This window comes from Homo sapiens, chromosome 4 (genome assembly GCF_000001405.40).
Source record: "Homo sapiens chromosome 4, GRCh38.p14 Primary Assembly".
NCBI lineage: Eukaryota > Metazoa > Chordata > Mammalia > Primates > Hominidae > Homo > Homo sapiens.
This window is the reverse complement of record NC_000004.12, coordinates 80,546,213-80,573,061: the sequence shown is the minus strand read 5'-3', so window position 1 is coordinate 80,573,061 and position 26,849 is coordinate 80,546,213. Positions and strand designations below refer to the sequence as shown.

Sequence of the window (26,849 nt, the reverse complement as noted above, 5' to 3'; positions counted from 1 at the left end):
ACTATGGAGAACAGTTTGTACGTTCCTCAGAAAACTAAAAACAGAGGTATCATGTGAACCAGCAATCCCACTGCTAAGCCTATACCCAAAACGAAGTATATCAGTATATCATGTCTGCACGCTCATGTTTGTTGCAGTATTTTTCACAATAGCCAAGATTTGTAAGCAACTTAAGTGTCCTTCAACAGATGAATAGTTAAAGAAAATGTAGTACATATACATATGGAATAAAAAGGCTGAGATCGGGCCAGGCATGATGGCTCACGCCTGTAATTCCAGCACTTTGGGAGGCCCAGGTGGGCGGATAACGACATCAGGAGTTTGAGACCAGCCTGGTCAACATGGTGAAACCCCATCTCTGCTAAAGATAAAAAAAATTAGCCAAGCGTGGTGACGCATGTCTGTAATCCCAGCTACTCGGGAGGCTGAAGCAGGATAATCACTTGAACCTGGGAGGCGGAGGTTGCAGTGAGTCGAGATAGCACCATTACATTCCAGCCTGGGAAACAGGGCAAGACTCCCTCTCAAAAAAAAAAAAAAAAAAAAAAAAAAAACTGGGATCCAGTCATGTGCAACAACATACATGAAACTTGAGGTAATTTTGTTAAGTAAAATAAGCCAGGCACAGAAAGACAAACTTTGCTTGTTCTCACTTATTTGTGGAAGCTAGAAGCTAAAACAATTGAATTCACGATGATAGAGAGTAGAATGATGGTTACCAGAGGATGGGAAGGATAGCTGGGCTGGGGAAATGAGAATGGCTAACAGGTTCAAAAAAAAACAGAATGAATAAGATGTAGTATTTGATAGCACAACAGGGTGACTACAGTCAACAGTACTTTATCGTACATTTAAAAGAGCCAAAATAGTTTAATCGGAATGTTCATTACACAAAGAAAGGATAAATGCTTGAGGTGATGAATAATGTTGATACCCCATTTACTCTGCATGTATCAAAATATCTCATGTACTCCCATAAATATATATACCTACCCTGTGTACCCACAAACATTAAAAAGAAAAAAGAATAAAAGAACATTAAAGATGTTTCATATGTATCTGTAATGCTATTGAATCTTTACATTCCTTCTCTCAATGTATCATTGTGTATTTGCTCTGTATTAGGCAGTTTGGGCTGCCGTGGCAAATGGCATACACTGAGTGGTGTAAACAACAGAAATTTATTTTATCACAGTTTTGTAGGCTGGAAGTGAGGGATCAGGGTGCCAGCATGGTTGTGTTCTGGTACAGGCCCTCTTTCTGGCGTTCAGATTGCTACCCTACTGTATCAACATGGCAGAGAAAGCAGGAACAAACTCTGGTGTTTCTTCTAATAGGAGCACTAATCCCATCATGAGGGCCCAACCCTTATGATGTCATCTAAACCTAGTGACCTCCCAAAGCCTCAGTCTCCAAATACCATGATATTTGGGGTTAGGATTTCAACATATGAATTCTGAGGATGGGTACAGTTTAGTCCATAATATGCTGTTTCTCATTTTGGAACAAGATGTAATAATTTTCTACAATATATTTATTTTTCTACATACACTTTCTTGCTTATTACTTCTTTTGTACAACTTGAAACTACTTCAAGTTTTTTTCATCATGTGAGCTAAATTAGAGCATTTTCACCTCCTGAAATATGCAGAATTTAGTTACCAAAGTCAGTTATTTCTCTCCAGTTCTCTTTAGCAAAGTGGAAATAATTTCAAGCCAGATAACCACAAAAAGGCCCAAATGAAAAGCACCAAGGAAACTTGCCGCAAAGAGCATGGAAAAACTTCCTTATCTTGAATATGAATTTATATTAAAATAATATACTCATAAGATTATTTTGAGATAAAAACAAAAACAATACTTTAGATAGAAGCCGCTGATCACTCCGTCCTGCTCACAACTCCATTTTCCCACCTCCTACAGCATGGCTAACTACCTTCTCACTTTTATGATATTTACTCCAACATTTTCTTTATGTCAGTCTCCAAATTTTAGAATCATCACCTCACCTCTTTACATCACTTAAGTATGTACCCCTAAACGATATGGTGTAATTTTGCTTGTTTTTGAACTTTCTATAAATGAAACCACAAAGTATATATTTGTAATATATTGTTTCTTTAGCATTTCCACATGTATTTCTTTAGTATGTTCCACATATGTTGGTGCATGTAGCTGTACCTCATTTTCATTGTATTCTCGTGTATGAATATACAACCATTTATTTATCCTTTCTCCTTTGGGTCTATTATAAATATGCTGCTAGAATTTCCTGTACATGTGTACATTTCTGAGTATACATTTCTCAAAGATCTATGGCTAGCAATACAAGAGCTATGTAATAGCACATTTGTTAATTTCAGATTTACAAAATAAAGCCACTTGTTTCCAAAATTGTTGATCCAATTTACACTTCACTATGAGAGTGTGAAAGTTCATTTTGCTTCACACCATTCCCAACATGTAGTAATTTAGAACTTTTTAATATAAGCAATCCAGTGTGAGGTTAAGCAACCTCAGAGTGCTTTTAATTTGCATTTTCCTATTTTTATTGATGTTTTGTCATATTAATTTCCTCTCATGCAAAATGCTCATTCCAGTTTTTTGTCCACTTTATTATTGTTATTTATATTGTATTGTTTTGTAGGAGTGTTTCATATATTCTAGATTTTAGATTTTTATTTACTATATGCTCTGCAAATATATTATTTCACACGTAGTTTGTATTTTTGCTCTTATTGGAGTTTCTATAATTAAATCTAATTTGAATATATACCAATATATCAAAATTATTCATTGTTATAGACTTTTTTCCACTTTAAATAAATCTTTCTCCACCCTGAAGTAATCACTATATTGCCTATGCAATGTTTAAAACTTTAATGAAAAGAACCTTCAATGCCTCTTTTGTCATGTATCAAATATTTATATATACATAGATCTGTTTCTGGCTTCTCTATTTTCTTCCAGTTTTTATGTATCTGTCTTCTGCCAATATCACACTGTCAATGACTGAGCATTTATGATAAATGTTGATGTCAAAAAAAGAACTCTTATCCTTTCTTTTTCAAAATGTCTTTGATTTTCTTTGTATCACTACCAAATTTTTAAAATATATTTGTCAACTTCCACTTTTAAAAAGCTCTTGGAATTTTTATTTGAATTTCCAATTTGTAAAGAATAAACATCTTTATGATACTGTAGCTTCCAATCATGAAGCTAAAAATAGTGTCTCACTACTTATTTATGATTTTTAAAGTTTTTTCAATAAAGTTTTATTGCATTTGTTCTTAATAAGTCTTGTACATCTTTTGTTAGATTTATGTCTAACAACAGGATATTACTATTAATGTGGAAAGTTTTTTCTTTCATTTTCTGCTTGTTGATTGTATGTAAAATAAAACGTAATTTGTATATTACCTTGCATCATGCAATTTTGCTAAACTCTCTCATTATTATTCCCTACTAATTTTAATTCCTATCCATTAGTTCTCTTTAATTTGACATGCAGATTTTAATTTCCTCATTAGTCATTTTATCTTTGTTGTGAATTACAAACCAAACCTCACACTAAGTTAAAATTTCTCAAAACTTTTTCTTCTTTTGTCTTATGTTATAACAGTAAAAGAAAAAAAGCTAGTTAAAATTATCTAGAATATTTTTAAACAACTTTACATTATAGCATATTTATAAAGAAATATAGTAATATACTTTTCCAATATAAATGGTCAACTATACACCATTTGCCTGAACACCCAAGCCAAACTATGTGGAATCCTCTGAGATTTTATTCCTCCCTGTTCACATCCAAAATTCACTTTATCAGTCAGAGTCCCAACAGAAAACAAATGAAACACTGAAAGAGCTTAAGGGGAGAGAGTATAATGGAGCTATCAACAGGGTTCAGAATGTTCACAAAGGGTGATGGAAACACACAAGAATTAGCCACAATGACGGAGTAGGAAGCTCTTCTCACCCTCAAGCCTGAGGAGACAAAGAGGGAGTGTTGCTAACAGAGCCTTAGCTGGCTGGCTACCTGATAGGCAGTGTGGTCATGTGTAGAGAACATGGCCACCAATAAAACTGTGGTCCAGTCTCTATCTCCTCCTGCTTTACAATTTACTTACTGAGGCTATAGTACACAGAGATTATCCTCTGGGGCCAGAAACTTATCTTTTGATTTGCCATTAACCTAATTACATGTACACTACAGCCATTGCACAGTTCCCTGTGCCCTTGATAGCCCTCAACCCTCAGTCTAAAAGGTCCTTCTTCCCCCTCTTCTCTAAAAACGTCTATACAAGACTCAAAAATCATGTGCTCCATAAATCATCTCCTTCATGCCATCCTTTCTTCTTTCTCCTCTCCATACAGGAAGCCAGGAAAACTGAGTACCTTATATTTCAACGTAGTCTGCAGTAAAGACTCAATAAATTGTATTTTGTTACTATAATATATAACATAAATTAATGCAATCCACTATATTCACTATCTTAAGAGAAAAATAATGTGATCACCACAACATAGGCTTGGAAAAGGCTTGACTGTCATCTCTCTTTCAACAACTTTTATTTTTGATATTGTTGTCATTTTTCTTTTAGTTTTCTTGAAAGTAAAGAGAAAATTGATTAAATTTACAAAACTTTGGTTGCGATTTTTCTAGGATTAATTTTATACCATTCTAGTATTCACATATTTCAGAGAATAACAAAGGAAACATGATACATAGTTTTGCAATTTTCTAAATAATTAAATTCTAATCACAACTTATTCAATTCTAAGTTTAAATTTTGATGTAGAAGCTTCAATGTAACTGACTGGATTATAAAAAATGTAGACCAATTAGAAGCATACACATATATAAAATAGGTTCAGTATGTTTGTATAATATTAATTGATCAGAATAACACACACTCATTTTTCCCTAAAAGTTTTTCTAACTCATTTTTTCTAACATTTTAGAAACAAACTTTTATTATTGTTTTTTAAAAATTTTACACCAGTCATCTTTTCCTCAAAATTTTTGAAGTTATTTGTTGAATTAGCAGAAAATGAATCTATAATTAAAATGAAAATAATTATTTTTTAAAAGCGAGGCTTTCACTGATTTAATAATGCATATTACATTTTAATTGATTCAAATATACATTGTATTAGGATATAATATAAACTTTTAAAATAATATATTTTGCTTACATTTCACAGTTGCAAAAATAAATGAAAATTTCAAGCATCATTCTAATTATGTATTGGTTTCCTAGACTTTAAACAACTTTTCGTTTGTATTTAAACAACAAAATCTTATGTACTTATATATATATATATATATAAATACATTAGAATAGCATTTTTAAGTGAAAATTGCATAGAAGGAAAATGGCAACCAGTGAACAATTTCAGCTCCTTTCCTTTGAGCATCAATTCAACAGACAATCCGCCTTTAATCTCTGAGAGATTATTATTTAAACACGAAGGGAGAGAACAGTAGAGCTAAATCCGATATGTGCTTTTTTAGTCTCCTCCCCTTTTTTTCGTAAACTATTCTTAATTGCCTTTTCACAATTGAAACAATATTCTTTAGGAGCCAGGTTAGTCAGGGTTACATTTGGAGAGATTTGTGGTTTAAGAATTTTTGAAATACAGTGATCTCCATGGAAATTCCAAGAGGTCATCAATTTATATTTTAATAACTTTCAGAAAAGGAGAACATAACTTGAGAAATGAAATTCATTTATTGGTGAGAAGAAATGAGGGTCAAATTTCCACTGAGCAGGAAAATAACATCACTTTCCCCGTCTTTTTTTATGTGAAAGAGTTTTTAAATTATCAAATGTACAGTAAAGCTATCAGCATCTCTGGGAAAGATTTCAATTGTTAGAGGCACACAGAAGAAAGTCAAGAAATGTTAACATGCACACTAGACAGAGGTTTCTTCTCATTTTCTATCTTGAGGAAGATCCAAGTGGGAGTCTTCAGATCTACAGTGTCTTACATCAGTCAGACTTTACTTTCTTCAATGAAAACTTTTTCTTTTTGTTTTTTTTTTATTTTAAGGAGAAAAAATGGGTTGGCTTCTCCGTAAGAAATTGTCTCTGAACTCCTCATTTTTGTACATCTGGCAAGTTTCTCTAGTTAATACTTAAATATGGTAGGTCAAGATAGTCTCACACTTTCAGGGGATAAAGGTGCTTAGAGAGGAAATAGATGTTCTTTGTGTCTGAATGTGTTCGATTTCATTCTGAAAACACATTAAAACTTTACTTTCATTCTCTCCTCGGAGGCAGCTACATCTTTTATCCTGATTTGGAATGTACTTCCTGACCTGCTGGTTATATTTACACAAGGAAAGCCAATGAAAAAAATGAAAGCAAAGAAAGAAACCTCTTGTTTGGTACACCTGCCTCCAGGTCCCTCTCCATCTGTGGGAAGCAGTTATTACTCTGGAGAACGCTGAAACTGGTCACGAGCAAGTGAGGCTTTAGAAAGCTGAAGGTCCTTATGCTACATATGTCTAGTCTCTGAGTTTTTCTAATTTTTGAAAGATTCTAAATAAATACCTGGAAACTGTGGTAAAATGGGGGCAACGCTTTACCAGAGGAAAACAGTCAGAGCCCATGCTGCATTTCTCAGTAACTGTACACAGTGATAGAGACTGTCATTCTTCAGGAATTGCAGGCTCTTCAATGTTCAGAGCAGAGGAGTGTACAAATAGGGTAGGGACTGTAAGGAAAAAAGAGGGGTTTAGATAGGGGAGTTTGGGAAGAAAGATACTTAAAAAAATACTATTAGAAAGGCTTATTGCATGATACCCTCTGTATATGCCTTTTATTACTCCTTTAATAAAACTTGAAATACTGGGATATAAGTTTGACTCCAAGTGATGGAGAGAAAGACTGAGAAAGTGATAGAGTTGGATGGAAGTATCCTAGACTTCTATGGAAGGTTTAACAAAGCCATACAGGAGTTCTTGGGCCAAAGTCAGCCAATAAAGGGCTATGGCTCCCTGCAATGGGTTCACCTTAATACCCTGGCCACACTTAGTCACTGGGGGAAAGCAGCCCATGGTAGATGTCATGAGGGTGCAAATGCATCACGGATTTCAAAGAGTGATGAGACCCTAAGTCAGTTAACACTCCCTGTATGAGATACACTCACATCTCTATCACAGTCTCCTTTCATCCAAATAAAAAATCCCAAGGTTCAAAAACCCCAACATAACTCATTTGCTTTATCACAAATATAGTTTCAAAACAAAATTGCCAATATTATTATCAATAACGTGTTTATTCAAAACAGTTTAAGGCTTTTGCAGATCTTTTTTTTCCTTAGAGTATATCTCATTATGGATGTATGGCAAAATTACTATGTTTTAAAGTAACTTCAGTTGCAAAAGGTCATTTTTAAATAGGTATGATACCAGCTAGATACACATTTAGGTTCATTTATTTTTCAATGTTTAAGATATTTTAAATTCTTCTTTTTAATTATATAAAATATTCACAGAATTCTACAATGAAATCTACAACTTAAGATTTACAGAAGTTTAGCTTGCATCTCCCCGAGTCCTTTCTACCCTTTTATTCCCTTCCTTCTACATAGATCGTTTTTTAAAAAAAGAATTAGTCATATTGCTTTTCAACTGTTCATATTGTTTTTAATAAAAGCAAACATTCTATACATGTTTGCCTTGACCTTGCTTTTTTACTTAACATTATATTCAGGGGATTATGCCATAGTAGTAACAGACATTTCACTCCTTTTTTAGGTACATAGTACTTGATTGTAGGAATATACAATAGGTTAGTCACTCAGCTGCTGATAGTCATTGGGTTGTTTTCCCTTATTTGCTACGAAAAATACTGCTTGAGCATATTGCTTTGTGTATAGGTCATTTCATGTTTTTGCCAGTATATGCTTGGAATAAATTCTAGAAGGAAGATTTCCGGTCAAAGAGTACATAAACATTTTATTGTGTTCAATATTATAAAGTTCCTCTTTAATGGGATTGTGCCATTTTGTAGTCCCACGTACAGTTTTAAGAGTACAAGTTTTTACATCCTTATCAACAATCAGTGTTTCATAGTTTTCGTTATAGAGATTTTTCACTTCTTTTGTAAAGTAAATTCCTAGGTATTTAATTTTATATGTGGTTATTGTAGATGAGATTACTTTTTAAATATTTTTTCAGATTGTTCATTGTTTGCATATAGGAAGGTTGCTGACTTTTGTATGTTGATTTTGTTTACTGCAACTTCACTGAATTGTTTGCTTTTTTTTTGGTGGAGTCTTGAGTTATTTTCCAATATAAGATTACATCATCTACAAACAAGTATAATTTGACTTCCTTTACAATTGGGATGCCGTTTATTTCTTTTTCTTTTCTGACTGCTCTAGCTAGGACTTCCAGTACTACGTTCAATAACAGTGGTGACAGTGTGCATTCTTGTCACATTCCAGATCTTAGAGTTTCAGTTTCTCTCCATTTAGTATGATCCTAACTGTGAATCTTCATACATGGCTTTTATTATGTTGAGTTATGTTCCTTGTGTCCCCAGATTTTTGAGAGTTTTTATCATAAAGGGATGTTGAATTATATCAAATACTCTTTCAGCATAAATTGAAATGATTATATGGTTTTTATCCTTCATTCTGTTTATAGGCTGAATCACATTGATTGACTTGCATATGTTGAAACATCTTTGCATCCTAGGGATAAATGCCACTTGATCATAATGAATGATCTTTCTAATGTATTGTTAAATTTGGTTTGCTTCTATTTTGTTGAGGATTTTTACATCAATATTCATGAGAGATATTTGTCTATAGTTTCCTTTTTTGATGTGTCTTGTCTCATTTTGGTATCAGGATAATATTAGCCTTGTAGAATGAGTTTGGAAGTATTCCCTCCTCCCCTATTTTTTATAATAGGTTGAGTAGGATTGGTATTAACTCTTCTTAAATGTTTGTGAGAATTTAACAGTGAAGCCATCAGGTCCCAGGCTTTTCTTTACTAGGAGATTTTTTATTACAGCTCTGATCTCATTACTTATTGATCTGTTCAGGTTTTGGACTTCTTCATTATTCAAACTTGGCTGGTTGTATGTATCTAAGAATTTGTCCACTTCTAGATTTTCCAACTCATAGTTGCTCATGGTAGCCACTAATGATCTTTTGAATTTCTGCAGTATCAGTTGTAATGTGATTTTTACATTTCTGATTTTATTTATTTGGATAGTCTTTCTTTTTTTCTTTGTTACCTGGTTAGAGGTTTGTCAATTTTGTTTAACTTTTCAAAAACCAACTCTTTGTTTCATTGATATTTTGTGTTGTTTTATTCATTTCAATTTCCTTTATTTCTGCTCTGATCTTTATTATTCCTTTCCTTCTACTAATTTTGGATTTGGTTTGCTCTTGCTTTTCCAGGTCTTTATGATGCATCACTAGATTGTTCATTTGAAGTTTTCCCTCTTTTGTTATGTAGGCACTTATAGTGATAAACTTACCTCTGAGTACTGCTTTTGCTGTATCCCATAGATTTTGATATGTTGTGTTTCCATAATCATTTCTTTCAAGAAATTTTTCAATTCCCTTCTTAATTTCTTCATTGACCAACTGGTCACTCAGGAGCATATCATTTAATTTGTATGTATTTGTATAGTTTCCAAAATTATTCTTTTTATTAATTTCTAGTTGTATTCCATTGTGGTCAGAGAAGATGCTTGATATTATTTTAATTTTTTGAATGTTTTAAGACTTGTTTTGTGACCTAACATATGGTTTATCCTTGGAAATGATCCATGTGCTGAGGAAAAAAATGTGTATTCCGCAGCTCTTTGATGAAATGTTCTATACATATCCATTAAATTCAGTTGGGCTATCCTGCAGATTAAGTCTGATTTTTTTGTTGTTGATTTTCTATCTGGATGATCTATCCAATGCTGAAAGTGTGGTGTTGAAATCTCCAGCTATTATTGTATTGGGACCTCTCTCTTTAGTCTAATATTATTTCCTTTACATATCTAGGTGCTCCAGTGTTGGGTACATGTATATATATTTAAAATTGTTGAAACCTCTTGCTGAATTGACCTCTTTATCATTATACAGTGACCTTCTTTGTATCTTCTTATAATTTTTGTCTGAAACATTTTTTTGTCTGATATAAGTATAGTGACTCCTGCTCTTTTTTGGTATCCATTGACATAGAATCTTATTTTCCACGCCTTTATTTTCAGTCTGTGGGTTCTTTACAGGTAAAGTACGTTTCTTGTAGGCAACAGATCAATGGGTCTGGATTTTTTAATCCATTCATCCACTCTATGTCTTTTTATTGGAGAGTTTAGTCTTTATACATTCAATGTTGTTGTTGTTATTATTATTATTATTATTATTATTATTATTATTATTGAAATTGAGTCTCGCTGTATTGCCTAGGCTGGAGTGTAGTGGCATGATCTCAGCTCACTGCAATCTCCACCTCCCAGGTTCAAATGATTCTCATGGCTCAGCCTCCCGAGGATAGTCTTTATTTTTAATTTGTTAAGCTGGTTAGAGCCTAACAAAGGCTCTAATCTTTGTAGCTGGGATTACGGGCACCCGCCACTACACCCAGCTAATTTTTGTATTTTTGGTAGAGACAGGGCTTCACCATGTTGGACAGGCTAGTCTCGAACTCTTGACCTCAAGTGATCTGCCCTCCTTGGCCTCCCAAAGTGCTGGGATTACAAGCTTGAGCCATGGTGCCCAGCCTCAATGTTATTATTGATACGTAAGGACTTATTCCTGCCATGTTGTTATTTGTTTTATGGTTATTTTGTGGTATTCTTTTCCTTGTTTCCTTCCTTCCTGCCTTTCTTTTAGTGAAGGTGATTTTTTCTCTGGTGGTATGATTTAATTTCTTGCTTTTTAGTTCTGTGTATCTGTTGTAGGTTTTTTTACTTGAGGTTACTATGAGGCTTGCAAATACTATCTTATAGTCCATTATTTGAAGCTGAAAATAACACTGATTGCATAAACAAGCAAAAAGAAAACAAAAACTCTACACTTTAACCTCATTCCCTCACTTTTTAGTATTTTGTTGTTTTTATTTATATCTTACCACATTGTCCATGTCTTAAAAAGTTGTTGTAGTTATTATTGTTGATTGGCTCATTGTTTAGTCTTTCTATTTAAGATAAGCAGTTTACACAACACAGTTACAGTGTTATAGTCTGTGTTTTTCTGTGATTTGCCCTTTTGAGGCTATTTTCTAGATCTTGTAGGTGTGCTTCATGGTTTTTCATTCTTTTTTCTTTTGTCTCCTCTGACCGTGTATTTTCAAATAGGCTTTCTTCAAAGCTCTCTATTTCTCTTTTCTGCTTGATCTGTTCTGCTATTAAAGGACTCCAATGCATTCTTCAGTATGACAGTCACATTTTTCACCTCCAGAATTTCTGCTTGATTCTTTTTATTTCAATCTCTTTGTTAAATTTATCTGATAGAAGCCTGATTTCCTTCTTTGTGGCATCAAATTCCTTTGAGTTTCCTCAATACAGCTATTTTGAATTCTCTGTCTGAAAGGTCACACATTTTCTCCAGGTTTTGTCCAATACCTTATTTAGTTCATTTGATGAGGTCATGTTTTCCTGGATAGCACTGATGCTAATAAATGTTCTTTGGTGTCTGGGCATTGAAGAGTTAGGTATTTATTGCAGCCTTCACTATCTGGGCTGATTTGTAGCTATCATTCTTGGGAAGTCTTTTCAGATATCTAAAAGGACTTGAGTGTTGTGATCTAAGGTGTATCTGCTTTAGGGGGCACCCCAAGTCCAGTAATGCTGTGGTTCTTTCAGGCTCATAGAGGTACCACCTTGATGGTCTTGAACAAGTTCCAGGAGAATTCACTGGATTACCAGGCAGAGACTGTTGTTCTCTTCTCTTACATTCTCCCAAGCATATAGACTCTCTGTCTCTGTTCTGAGCCACCTAAAGCTGGGGGTGGAGTGACAGAAACACCCCTGTGACCACCACCACTATGACTGCACTGCATCAGACCTGAAGCCAGAAAAGCACTGAGTCTCATCAAGGCGTGATGTAACCACTCTCTGGCTAAGCCTATGTTCACTCAAGACCTCAGAGCTCTACAATCAGCCAGTGGCAAAGCCAGACAGGTCTGTGTCCTTCCCTTTAGGGTGGCGAGGTCCCACAGGACCCACGTGGGTCCAGAAACACCATCCAGGAGTCAAGGGCTAGAGTGAAAAAGCCTAGAATTCTACCTGGTGTTCTATTGTATTGCAGCTGAGCTGGCACTCAGACCACAAAACATAGTCCTTCCCACTCTTCCCTCTCTTTTCCAAAGGCAGAGGAGACTTACCCCAAAGCCACCAACAGGCCAGGCCCTGTGGAGTACTGCCAGACTACCACTGATGTTCTCTTAAGGGTCACGGTCTCTTTAGTCAGCTTGTCATGAATGCTGCTTGGCTTGAGACTCACCTTTCAGGGCAGTGGGTATCCCTCTGGCCTAGGGCAGGTTCAGAAATGCGACCCAAAAGTCAAGTCCTGGAATCGGGGACCCCAAAAGCCCACTTAGTGCTCTACCCACCTGTGGCTATGCTGGTACCTAAAGTGCAAGACAAAGTCCCCTTTACTTTTCCCTCTGCTTTCCCAAGCCAAAGGAGTTTTGCCCTGTAGCCACCATAGCTGGTAATGTGCTGAGTCTCACCTGAAGCCAGCAAGTCTAGAGGCTCACCAAGGCCCTTGACATAGTACCTGGGTATCACTGCTGGTATTCAGAGCCCAGGGGCTCTTCAGTTAGCAGGTGATAAATGCTTCCAGGACTGGGTATTTTCCTTCAAGGCAGAGGTTTCCCTTCTGACCCAGGGTGTGTCTAGAAGTTAGGACCTGAAACAGGGGTCTCACAACTCTGGCCAGTGCTCTGTCCTGTGGCTGAGCTGGTATCATAGATGCAAGACAAAGTCCTCCCCACTCTTACCTCTGCTCTCCTCAAGCAGAAGGAAGGGGTCTTTTTTGGAGTCACGGGCTATGCAGCCTGGGGTTAGGGGAGGGATGTTGCCAGCACTCCCTTGGCTGTCCCAGCTGGTGTCTCAGTATGTTATGTGATCCCTTAGTCCACTGTCTCTAGGCCTAGTTCAACACTAGGATTTGCCTAAGCATTGCAGTCCTTATGGCCTAGACTGTCTTTCAAGTTTACTTGGAGACACAGAGTACAGTAGCCCTCAGTAGTGAGGGGTGTGGGAACTCAAGTTCCAACTACTAGTTTCGTCAATTCTGTTCTGGCTAGGGCTGGTTTAAATGCTCCTTCCATGGGCAGGCATCTGCTGAATTTGGTCTGGTTTCCTTTTTACTCTAGCAGGATAGCAATGAGTTCAATGCCTCACAATTGCAGTGTTCTCTCTCCCCCACTGCCCAGAGATGATCTCCACACAATGCAGCTTCTGCCAGGGGTGAGGGAGGAGACTGGCATCTGCCACTCAGGACTGTGTTTTCTATCTCTTCAATGCCTCTTTTAGTGATATAAAGTTAAAGACAGCTACTGAGGGCTCACATGATTTTTGGTTCTTACACAGGCGCTTTTTTTCTGTGGAGGTAGTTGTTAACTTGGTGTCTTTTGGCGAAGAGACTATGGGTGAAGCCTTATATTCCCCCATCTTGCTCCACCTCTTCCCTTATATTCTCTCATAATGAGCTTTGCACTCCTGCATCAAGAAGTACAATCTACTTCCCCTTTCTTTGATCTATATATTATGGCAGAAGTAATACTAAAAAGTCCTCAAAGCTTCCACTTTTGCAGTTGGGAAAAGCCAGTTACCATGCAAGAAGTCCAACTACCATGAACCTGTCATGTTATATGAAAACCCAAACTAGCTACAAGGAAAGTTCACATGAAAAGAGAAACCAACCCCTAGCTGTTCCAGCCATTCCCAGCTGAGGAGATATATAACTAAAGAAGCCATTTTGAACATTCCAGCCCTAACAGATACCACATGGAGCAGAAACAAGCTACCCCAGCCAAGACCTGCACAATTTGTGGAGTAATGACCAAATAAATAAATATTTTTATCAATCACTGAGTTTTGAGGTGGTTTTATTGCAGCAATAAATAACCAAAATAGAAATGATTATGATTTTTCTCGTTAGTGCTATTTATATGATGTATTATACCGTTTCTTGTCTTCTACTGAATTACTCTTGTACTTTTAGAGTAAACCTCACTTACTCATGAGATATTATTTTTAAATGCAGTGTTCTATTTTACTTATTTCTCTATTATATTCATAAGTGAGGTCAGTCTGCAGATACCTTTTTAGATATAATCTTTATAAGGTTTTTTAATCTATGTTCTACACACTTCAAAAAATGAATTTAGAAGTTTTCCTTTTTTTTTTCCAATGCTCTGAAATAGTCTAAGTCGCATCTGGGATTATAAAATATTTAAAATTTGTTCAATTCCTATGAAATCATCTCTGCCTGACGCTCTTATTTGGTGGAGTTATTTTAACTATTCTGAGTCAAGAGTTAACCTCAAGTTTGTGTTGATCTGTGCCTTCTTAGGAGAATGACCTCTGGAATTCCTAAGCTACCTTTGTCAGGACTGCAGGAATTGATTTGCACACCAGCCATTTAGAATTTGGTTGGTTTTGCTTGCCACTAATAATCTAGAGAGCTATGAGAACTTTAAGGTTCCTGGCCAAAAAAAAAACAAACAAACAAACAAACAAACAAAAAAACCACAAAAGTCTTCAGTAAGTTCTGAACAGAAATTGTACATTATTTATTATTTGAAAAAGTAGGTGAGAATAAAATTGTTTAAATGATGTTTATTTCCAAGGTAATTCAATTTAATTAGTAATTTTAGTAGGTTTTACATCTTCTTTAGGAAACAGAGAGAAACTGTGACATGGGTTCAAAGTTTTAACGTTCAGAAAAGATTGGCCTTGTCATTAAGAAAATTATATTAATTGGGATTTCTCTCATACTAATTCAGTTGTGTTGACCATTATTAAAATTAAGTGACATTCACTTGGAGTAAGTAGTAATAAAAAATGTGAGGCTTTCTAGTGATTTTTGATCCCAAGTTATTTATTACTGATGGGCCTTCAAGTGTGCACTTGAAAACAAAATATGTGCAAGTGTCATTCTGGTTTGAAGATTTTGGTGGCGAAAGTTAGCTAATCACTTGTCAGTACTGTAACTGGAAACCAATCTTGGAAATATGTGATGATGCTCTTTTAAAGTAGCCGAAAAGAAATTATTTTGTGTTTGTTCTTGCTTTGTCCTTTTTTGTTGTTGTATAGTATTTAAGTAAAAGGAGATTATCTTGATACTGAATTTCCAAAACTGGTATTTGCATTAACTATTTTTTAATGATGGAGATTACGTAAAGTTAGTTGTCTTACTTTGATACTTTTGGCATGGGACCTAAGACATTTTTGATGGTTTTGGTCACAGTTCTGTCACTAGAATACTAGCAATCAGATATATGCAATGAGTAACCTAACTACTTTAATACACTGCTTTGAAGTACTGATGGCAGTAACTCCTAAATCACAGCGTTTTAATTTGTACGTGTTAGAGAGAATGATAGGACCTTCTATAGTATAAGTATCTTATTAACTAATGCTTGTACTGTTAAGTTACAGGTCTTTGACTCTTGGATCTGAAAAAGGTACTGACCCCCTGCTAAATTCTGAGCATTGACACCAGTTGAAGCATCAACAACACACTCAGGAGAAGGTGATTATCAAAATGAACTGCTTTTGTGAGACACAAGACCAGAAATTAAACTATCCAATTCTTCTAGGCCCAGGGACTGTCATGGAAGAGGTGGGTACATAAGATTGCAATAGCCAATTTTGAGTTACAAGGTTAGTTCAGATATTTTCTGTAAATTAAACATTAATATAGAAAGGACACTGATGCAAGGCCAGTATCTGGGGCCATGTGTTGGAATAACAGGACTTTCTTGAAGTGTTGATCTGTGGTTTAATAGAAAATTTAAAAAGGTTGTGAAAACCTTACCTTATGGTCAAACTGATTAAAATTAGACAGATTTGTTTATAAGGTTTTATTAAAATTAGCTTTAGTTATATACCATACAAAAGGTGAAATTTTGGTTTTCTCTTTTGAGCAAAATGTTTATGTAATATTAAGAGATAAGAGATTTTGTTTACCTTTTGGGTGAACTGCAGGGAGAAAATGGAGGGGGAAGAGACAGATATACTTGGCCTCATGCTGTCTTAAGTCTTATTGATTGGGAAAATATGTTTCCTCTCTATGAGGAGTAAACATAATTTTGGCTACTTGAATGACAATTTTATAGTAACTTGTGATCCTATTTTGTGATATCTAGTGTCTTAAACCTTTGAAATCTGACAGACTTTCCAACAGCAAAATTTCATGTTAAATTCAATCTTTTGACCTCAAACTAAACTTTTTGGATATTAAGTTCCCTGAAATCCAAGAGAGACATATCGGGCTTATTAGGCTTATTTGTAAAGTTAGAATTATACAGGAAGTACTGTCAAATCTGAGATGGTGTTTAGCTTCCTTTCGGTTATATTTATAGATGTGTTGTTCATATGTGTTCCAGGATTGTATGAGATTCCTAAAGTTCTTACACGTCTTAATATATATTATCAGTAATATATAATTATTGTGTTAAATTGTTGTATGCCACAAAAATAAACAAATTTCCTTGTCAACCATGTCTTCATAGCTGTCTTAAGACTTTTGTCATCGAAAATTTGTTTTTCTTTGATCCTTCTCAAAAAAGAGACTTATAATCAGCTACAGTTCAATCTTGCTTCTTTGGAGGAGTTCACGAAAAGGACTCTTAAATACAAGTTTTCTGATAACTTTGGAGATTGTGCCATTGGATTAGAGACAAAACTTCCAGGGCTCCAATTTAAAGGCTTATGTGTTCATAAAGATTGCTAACCCAATATGAAGTAGAATAGGAGTTGATTGCATACACTGAACTAATGGAAGACAAAAACAATTTGTATGGCTTTTGTTGTTTGAAATGTTGCTGATTGTTTTCATTTTGTTTTTTCAGAGTCTAAAGAATCTTTTTCTTTTGAGCTATTTATAGCCTTGAAATATACTTTAAGTACATTGAGTATACTTTTGTAAAAAGAATTTGAGTCATATTTCTGTCTGCCTAGTTTCTCCACAATTTGTAAAGATAGAAGATCCAAATAAACACAACTAGAAATGATAGGAATGTTACCACTGGCCCCACAGAAATAAAAATAACCATCAGAAACTACAATGAGCACCTCTGAGCCCATAAACTACAAAATCTAGAAGAGATGTATAAATTCCTGGACACATACATCCTCCCAAGACTGAACAAGGAAGAAATGAAATCCCTAAACAGACCAGTAATAAACTCTGACATTGAATCAGTAATAAATAGCCTATCAACCAAAAAAAGCCCAGGAACTGATGGACTTACAGCCAAATTCTACCAGGTGTATAAATAAGTTCTGGTATTATCCCTACTGAAACTATTCCAAAGAATTGAGAAGGAGAAACTCCTCCCAAACTTATTCTATGAGGCCAGCATCATCTTGATACCAAAACCTTGCAGAGACACAACAAAAAGGAAGACTTTATGCCAGTATCTTTTGATGAACATCAATGTAAAACTCCTTAACAAAATATTGGCAAACCAAATCTAGCAGCACATCAAAAAGCTAATCTACCATGATCAAGTAGGCTTCATTCCTGGAATGCAAGTTTGGTTCAACATAAGCAAATCAATAAATGTGACTCATCACATAAATAGAACTAAAGACAAAAACTACATGATTATTTCAATAGACACAGAAAAGGCATTCAATAAAATTCAACACCCCTTCACATTAACTCTCAATCAACTAGGTATTGAAGAAACATACCTCAAAATAACAAGAGCCATCTATGACAAACCCACAGCCAACATCATACGGAATGGGCAAATGCTGGAAGCATTTCTCTTGAGAACTGGAACAAGACAAAGATGCCCTCTCTCACCATTCCCATTCTACATATTATTGGAAATCCCAGCCAGAGCAATCAGGCAAGCGAAAGAAATAAAGGGCATCCAAATAGGAAGAGAGGAAGTCAAACTATCCCTGTTTGCAGATGACATGATTCTATATCTAGAAAACCCCATTGTCTTGGCCCAAAAGTTCCTTCAGCTGATAAACTACTTCAGCAATGTTTTGGGATACAAAATCAATGTACAAAAATCACTAGCATCCCTTTACACCAACAACAGCCAAGCTGAGAGCAAGATCAGGAAGGCAATCCCATTCACAACTGTCACACAAAAAATAAAATATCTAGGAATACAGCTAACCAGGGAGATGAAAGATCTCAATAATGAGAATGGCAAAACACTACTCAAAGAAACCAGAGAAGACACAAACAAATGGAAAAACATCTCATGCTTATGGATAGAAAGAATCAATAACATTAAAATGGCCATACTGCCCAAAGCAATTCATAGATTCAATGCTATTTCTACCAAACTACCAATGACATTCTTCACATGACAAAAAAAAAAAAAAAAAAACTAGTGGAAAACGTATATAGACTCAAAAAGAGCCCAAATAGCCAGGGCAATGCAAAATAAAGAGAACAAAGCTGGAGGCATCAAGATACCCAACTTCAAACTATACTACAGGGCCACAGTAACCAAAACAACATGGCATTGGTAGAAAAAACAGGCACATAAACTAACGGAACACAATAGATAACACAGAAATAAGACCACACACCTATGACAATCTGATCTTTGGAAAACCTGACAAAAATAAGCAATGGGGAAAAGACTTGATATTCAATAAATGATGCTGGGATAACTTAGCCATATGCAGAAGATTGAAGCTGGACCCCTTCCTTACACCATATACAAAAATCAACTCGAGATGGATTGAAGACTTAAATGTAAAACTCAAAATTATAAAAACACTGGAAGACAACCTAGGCAATACCATCCTGGACATACAAATGAGCAAAGATTTCCTGACAAAGATGCCAAAAGCAATTGCAACCCAAGCAAAAATTGACAAATAGGATGAAATTAAACATAAGACCTTCTACACAGCAAAAGAAAGTATCAACAGAGTAAACAGACAAGCTACAGAAAGAGAGAAAATATGTGCAAACTATGCATCTGACAAAGATCTAATATTCAGCATCTATAAGGAACTTAAACAAATTTATAAGAGAAAACCCCATTAAAAAGTGGGCAAATGACATGAAGACACTTTTCAAAAGAAGACATACATGCAGCCAACAAGCATATGAAAAAACCTCAGTATCACTGACCATTTGAGAAATGCAAATCAAAATCAAAAAAAGATACCATCTTACACCAGTCAAAATGACTATGATTAAAAAGTCAAAAAAATAACATATGCTGGCAAGGCAAAAAAGAACAGTTACACACTGTTGGTGGCAGTGCAAATTAGTTCAAACACTGTGGAAAGCAGTATGGTGATTCCTCAAAAAGCTGAAAGCAGAACTACCATTCAACTCAGCAATCCCATTACTGGGTATATACTCAGAGGAATATAAATCATTCTACCATAGAGACACACACACGACAGTGTTTTTACTGCAGCACTATTCACAATAGCAAAGACACAGAATCAACCTAAATGCCTATCAATGACAGATTGGATAGATAAAATTTGGTACATATTTGGTACCTATACACCCAGGAATATTATGCATCCATAAAACAGAATGGGATCCTGTCTTTTGTGGGAACATGGATGGAGCTGGAGGCTATTATCCTTAGCCAACTACTGCAGCAACAGAAAACCAAATACTGCATGTTCTCATTTATTAGTGCGTATGAGAACTCATGAACACAAAGAAAGGAACAATAGACACTGGGGTCTACTTGAGGGTGGAGGGTGGGAGGAAGAAGAGAAGCAGATAACTATTGGGCACTCAGCTTAATACCTGGGTAATAAAATAATCTGTACCACAAACTTCCATGACAGAAGTTTACCTATGTAACAAACCTTCATGTGTATCCCAAATCTAAAATAAAACTTTAAAAAAAAAAAATAAACCTATTGGCTATGTGCAGTGGCCAATGTCTATAATTTCAGCACTTAAGGAGGCCAAGGTAGGAGAACCACTTGGGGCCAGGAGTTCAAGACCAGCCTGGAAAACATAGTGAGCGCCCCCATCTCTAAAAACTTTAAAAATTAGCTGGACATGGTGGCACATGCCTGTTGTCTTAGCTACTTGAGAGGCTGAGGTGGAAGGACTGCTTGAGTGAAGGAGTATGAGGCTGCAGTAAGCTATACTCATGCCATTGCGCTCTAGCCTGAGTGACAGAGCAAGACTCTATCTCTGAAAAGAAACCCCAAACTACTGGTGTAGTAATAACCTCTTATTCAAAATATATTTAAATCTTTGTAAAGTCATCTTTCATGTTAGCAAAACATTTTTCTTTTTCCATAATCATTTTCCTCTCTACAGTTTTCTTTGTAATTTTTTGAACCATGCAAAAACTTATAAGATATATTAGGAGACTTTAAAGTCTAGATAATAAAATAAACCACTCATTTCCAATAAAAGCATGATGGCACATGCAATTCCAGTTGAGAATTTCACCTGGCTGGCTCAGGGTTACTGGCACAGTTACATCTGTTCTATGAAAACATTTAACAGGTCGAGGCCACGGAAAAGACATTTTTCTTTTTCATTTCCACTTGAAGACACTCTAATTTGCAAAAAATATGATCTATTTACAATTTCCCAATCACATAAGAAATCATATATGGTAACTTCAGTTGATTAGTACTATGTTTCCCATTTAAACCAGTGATATATTAATATTCTCTATTAGTAGATGTCACCAGGCAGTACTTATCAGTTATATTGTCCCAATAAAGAAAACAAACTACCTTCTATTCTTTGACCATTTGTATTTAAACACATAATTCAAAGGCATAGAATGCTTTTATCTTAAATAAATTAATAGTTTCAGCTCTTTTAAAAGCTTTCGGGCCGGGCATGGTGGCTCACGCCTGTAATCCCAGCACTTTGGGAGGACAAGGCGGGCAGATACCAGGAAGTCAAGAGATCAAGACCATCCTGGCCAACATGGTGAAACCCTGTCTCTACTGAAAATACAAAAATTAGCTGGGCATGGTGGCACGTGCCTGTAGTCCCAGCTATTCGGGAGGCTGAGGCAGGAAAAATCACTTGAACCTGGGAGGCGGAGGTTGCAGTGAGCCCAGATTGCACCACTGCATTCCAGCCTGGTGATAGACCGAGTCTCCATTAAAAAAAAAAAAAATCATAGATATATCACTTACATGGAAAGCTTTTATACACAAAAATTAAAGTCTTAGTCATATGAAGAAATCTCAGCTCCAATATTAGACAAATTATACAAATATATTTCCATGTATATAACTAAAACTCATTTCAAGGAAAAAAATGTTTTCTAGAACCATGGTACTATTATATATCTTACTATTTACAGTAGACTTAGTTGATATCTGGACTTTGAATATAGTATATGAATTAGAAATAACAATGTACATGTTATCATAATAAATATATTTCATTTACGTCTAAATATCTTTCTCTCATGCATTTTTACCTCTATCTTTCTATAATGTATTTTATTTCCAAAAGAACTTTAAAAATGTCCTATCCTTTACAAGAAACAATTGCATTAGGAAGTTATTTTCTAAAGTGTAGGCTGTTAATCATTTTGACATTGTTGTCAGCTGAAACACTGACTATAAAAATGTGATTGTTACCTACATAATCTAATGTACCACAAATACCGTTGTAAGAACCCTAATATGGCATATTTTATTGTTTAATAAAATTAACAAGTAATTGTCAAAGCTACACTTACTATATGATATTTGAAACTCCACAGACTAAATGATTTTTAAAAATATTATTGTTGCTTATATACTTTAGTTGAACAGTTTTCATGGTTATCAGAGTTTTGGCTTACACTGAAAGTCCACACCTGACCAAATATTGGCATGAATGTTTCAAACAGTTAACTGAGCTACCAGCAGCATGGCCCATGTCAATTATCCATCTTTAACAATATATTTTTTTAAGTTTCTTTATCAGCTTTCTGCTAAGTTTGTAAAACCCATTACTTTCAGGAAAGGAAGACAATGTAACTGAAAGGCTCTCCTTAAGCAGTTATAGCATAGTTTGGTATATATGAAGAGGCAATTTTTGTTTTTCAGATTTCATATTTAGGACTATGCATGTGTATGCGTGTGTGTGTGTGCGTGTGTGTGTGTGTGTGTGTGTGTTTTGAGTTAATACCTTTAAGTACTTAGAAAATATTGTAAGTTATATATATATATAGCTACTCCCTGAATCACATAGAAAGTTAAATTAGAAACATTGTTAACATCAGGATTAAAATGGTGGGGAATGAAGAAGAATCAGTGACAAACTCTAACATCATTTTCAATATAACTAATTCTTAACAGTAAATAAGAAACTAAAACCCACTTATAATCACTTAAACAAGAAGATGATATTACCCAACCAAATATCTAAAGACATTTAAGACTGAAGTTGAGACTTGGCTATAAAATGCATAATTTGTCTATATCAGATCAGTCAAACATATGTAGATAAAGGTGTATTTAAATATAGGGAAGAGAGGTTGAAGAGTTGCATATAGTGACCCAGGACTCAGTTGATGCAATCGCAATAAAACGAGATAACCTGCACTTCATATCAATCAACAAATACTAGTATTAACTAAATGTTTACTAGATGTAACATAATTCACAGGTCTTATTCACGATTTTATATGCCAACATGCCTAGTACATGTTTGAGCTCAATAAATGATTGTGGAATTGATAAATAAAATCTATAGTAATGGACAGATTAGAGGTGTATTGTATGAAAATTTAGGTGGCTGCATTTTTTAATCCCTATAATCATATACAATAATCATAAAATATTTAAATATTAAAAATATTAGAAGTACAAAGATATTTTGGGGATAGTTTAATACTTTAATTTATAACATAACCTAATATAAAAGTCAATATGTTATTTCATAAACTGATAACATTTAAGAAGTTTGAGTGAACAGAGAAAAAATTTGACAAAGTAATTTCTGTAGAAAAATTTTCATATTTTCCTTTTACCTTGTAACAATGAAAGTGAATTTTATAAAATATAAATAAACTGTGTTTAATGTATGTATCAAAAATTATATTTTGCATTGGATTTTTAAAAATATCTTCTTAATTTATAAAATACATGAGTATGCTCAATCGAATAAAAAAAGAATTCATTCAAATACAGTATTTAATATGAACAATTAAATACTTTTCTATTAGAGATCATTTACTCCTTTAAGCAGCAACTCACAAAGTATGTTCAGTAGAAGTCTGGGCCTACAAGAACTTCATCAAAAACGTGTCCACAGTTACCCTGTTGAAAATCCACAATGCACAGCAGCATATTTAAGGCACTGAAATGTTTTATAGTGAAGACGCTCTTTAATTCTCTTAACCCAGTGTTTCTAAAATTTACTTAACCATAGAATCACTCTTGTCTTTTCAGAGAACATCTGTTAACATGTGTAAGAAGTAAACTGCAGAATATATCTTTTTAAAAGTTGTGGTAAACATTCCAATAGTTTGATTGATACTGCCTTCTTTTTCACTCTTCACCAAGTCCTAAGTTTCCATCTATAATATATCTACAATCCATTCGATTTCTTCTATCATTTCTCCCACTGTTCTAAACCCAAACCATCATCATCATTTATGTTTATTATAATAGCATCTTAGCGAGTGTCTCCAAATTTACTCTCCAATCAATTTTCCTTACTGAAGCCAGAATAGTTTAAAAATTGTGTGTGTGTGTGTGTTACTTTCTTGATTAAACCATTTTAATCAATTATTTCTCATAGTGCTTAGAAAAAATACAAAAATCACAAACCTGTCTTAATAGATTTTGCTAGACATTTCTTGCCACTCTCTTCCTCTCACTACTCTCCTCCCACACTGACTATGCATACAGTGCTTGAAACATGTGATGATTTTTCCCACCTTAGGTCTTCCTATAAGTTATTTTCTTTGCTGAAAACGCTACCTGGAATTTTTTTTGTCTCCCTAACTCCTGCTTTTCTGTAATTTCTCTTTTAATGTCATGTCCTCATAAAGCCCTTACTGACCAACATTCTAAATCAGGCTGCACTGTATACAATTATACAATTTCCACGAAAGACAATTATAGAACCTGACAATACAGCATATAAAAACTAAATTTTATTATAGAAGATAGCAAAGTTAGAGGGTACATGAGTTGAGCAAATCATCATACCCTGATCAGAGTCCTAACACATGCAAACACATACAGGGAGATAGGAGGATGGAGGAGCCTCAGTAACCTCACTGGAATAAGACCAAAATATACTGCATTCATAGAACCTGAGCTTCTTATATCTGTTATGTAGGCAGATATTTTAAAAGCCTAGCTCTCATGTTTTATAATGGGTTCTCTTTTATTTTAGGTTCAGTTGGTACATGTGCAATTACCTGGGTAAATTGCATGTCACTAAGGCTTGACATACGAATAATCCCATCGCCAAGGTAGCGAGGATAGTACCTGATATGTGCACTTCCAATTTATGCCCGCCTCATATCCTCCTACCTCAAGCTGTCCCTACCTAGTACCTATTGTTTCCATCTTTGGGTCCATGTCTGTAAAATGTTTAGCTCCCACTTATACTTGAGAACATAAGGTATTTGAATTTCTGTTCCTGCATTAGTTCACTTAGCATAATGGCCTCCAGCTATTAATACATCCATGTTGCTGTAAAGGACATGATCTCATTCTTTTTCACGGCTGCTAAGTATTCCACAGTGTATATTTACCATATTTTCTTTATCTGGTTCACCATTGATAGGCGTCTTGGTTGATTCCATGTCTTTGCTATTGTGAGCAGTGCTGCAATGAACACACAAGGGCGTGTGCCTTTTTGATAGAACAATTTATTTTCCTTTGGGTATATACCCAATACTGGGATTGCTGGGTCAAATGGTAGTTCTGTTTTAAGTTCTTGGTGAAATCACTAAATTGTATTCCACAGTGGCTAAACTAATTTACATTCTTACCAGCAGAGTATAGGTGTTCCCTTTTCTTCACAACCTTGCCAAAATCTTGTTTTTTGACTTTTTAACAATAGGTATTCTGACTGGTGTGAAATGGTATCTCATGTGGTTTTAATTTGCATTTCTCTAATGATTAATGATGACAAACATTTTTTCATGTATTTGTTAGCGGTTTGTATGTCTTTTTCTTTGAGATATGTCTGTTCATGTCCTTAGCCCATTTTTTGATGGGGTTATTGGTTTTTTGCTTGCTGATTTGTTTAAGTTCCTTACAGATTCTGGCTACTAGACCTTTGTTGGATGCTTAGTTTGCCAATACTTTCTCTCATTCCGTAGGCTGTCTTTTTACTCTGTTGATGTTTCTTTTGCTGTGCGGAAGCTCTTTAATTTAATTAGGTCACACTTGTCAATTTTTGTTTTTACTGCAATTGCTTTTGAGGACTTAGTCATAAACTCTTTGCTGATGTCCAGAATGGTATCTGCTAAGTATTCTTCTAGGGATTTTTTAAATTCTTTTAGGTCTTACATTTAAATTTTTAATTCATCTTGAGTTGAATTTTATATATGGTGAAAGGAAGGGGTCCAGTTTCAATCTTCTGCATATGGCTACCATTTATTGAATAACAGCTGAATTGAATTAGAAGTCCTTTCCTCATTGTTTGTTATTGTTGACTCTGTCAAATATCAGCTGGTTGTAGGTGTGTGGCTTTATTCCTTGGCTCCCTATCCTTTTCCATTGGTCTGTGTGTCTGTTTTTATATGAGTACCATGCTATTTTGGTTGTTAGCCTTGTACTATAGTTTGAAGTCAGGTAGTGTTATGCCTCTGGCTTTGTTCTTTTTGCTTAGAATTGCTTTGGTGATTTGAGCTCTTTTTGCTTCCATATGAATTCTGGAATAATTTTTTTTTAATTCTGTGAAAAATGAAGTTTTAAGTTTGACTGGAATAGCATTGAATCTATAAATTGCTCCAGACAATATGGCCATTTTAACAATATTGATTCTTCCTATCTATGTTAGACCATTCTTGCATTGCTATAAAGAAACACATGAGGCCGAGCAATTTACAAAGAAAAGAGGTATAATTGACTCATGTTCTGCAGGCTGTACAAACATGGTGCTGTCATCTGTTCAGCTTCTGAGAGAGTCTCAGGGAACTTTTACTCATGGTGTAAGGCAAAGTGGGAGCAAGCATTTCACGTGGCAAAAGCAGGAGCAAGAGAGAGTAGGAGTGAAGTGCCACACATTACAACAACCAGATCTCACAAGAACTCATTATCATGAGGACAGCACTGAGCCATGATGGATTTGCCCCATGACCCAAATACCTCCCACCAGGTCCTACCTTCAACATTGGGGATTACATTTCAACATGAGATTTGGATGTGGAAAATATTCAAACTATATCACTATCCATGGACATGGAATGCTTTTCTATTCATTTGTGTCATCTCTTCTTTCTTTCAACAGTGTTTTGTAATTCTGCTTGTAGAGAGTTTTCACCTCCTTGGTAAGCAGCATTACTAGGTATCTTATTCTTTTTTGTGGCTATTGTAAATGAGATTGCATTGCTGATGTGGCTCTGAGGTTGAATAGTATTGGTGTATAGCAATGCTACTGATTTTTGTACACTGATTTTGTACCCTGAAACTTCACTGAAGTTGTTTATCAGTCCTAAAAGCCTTCTGGTAGGGTCTATGTGGGGCTGAATGGGA

General features: G+C 35.1%; 1 protein-coding gene across 8 annotated transcripts in view, besides 1 other annotated feature; it reads right to left on the bottom strand.

The window, feature by feature from the left end:
* CFAP299 (cilia and flagella associated protein 299) overlaps positions 1–26,849 on the bottom strand; it is a 642,486-nt gene that overhangs the window by 390,689 nt on the left and 224,948 nt on the right. The window contains exon 1 of one of the 8 annotated variants that reach the window (XM_047449976.1): positions 6,558–7,284. The exons of the other annotated variants lie outside the window; for them this stretch is intronic. Coding sequence (XP_047305932.1) covers positions 6,558–6,616 — 59 coding nt within the window. The 5' untranslated portion in view covers positions 6,617–7,284. Of the gene's footprint in view, positions 1–6,557; positions 7,285–26,849 lie in introns of those variants that run through there. 8 annotated transcript variants of the gene reach the window in all.
* Positions 13,132–13,324: a silencer, noted in NCBI's record as "fragment chr4:81480892-81481084 (GRCh37/hg19 assembly coordinates)". NCBI's record gives its function as "represses an EF-1alpha promoter that drives an FKBP-Casp9 reporter gene in an ReSE screen in phorbol 12-myristate 13-acetate-treated (for megakaryocytic differentiation) K562 erythroleukemia cells {active_cell/tissue: K562(+PMA)}" and the evidence as "EXISTENCE:reporter gene assay evidence [ECO:0000049][PMID:32094911]".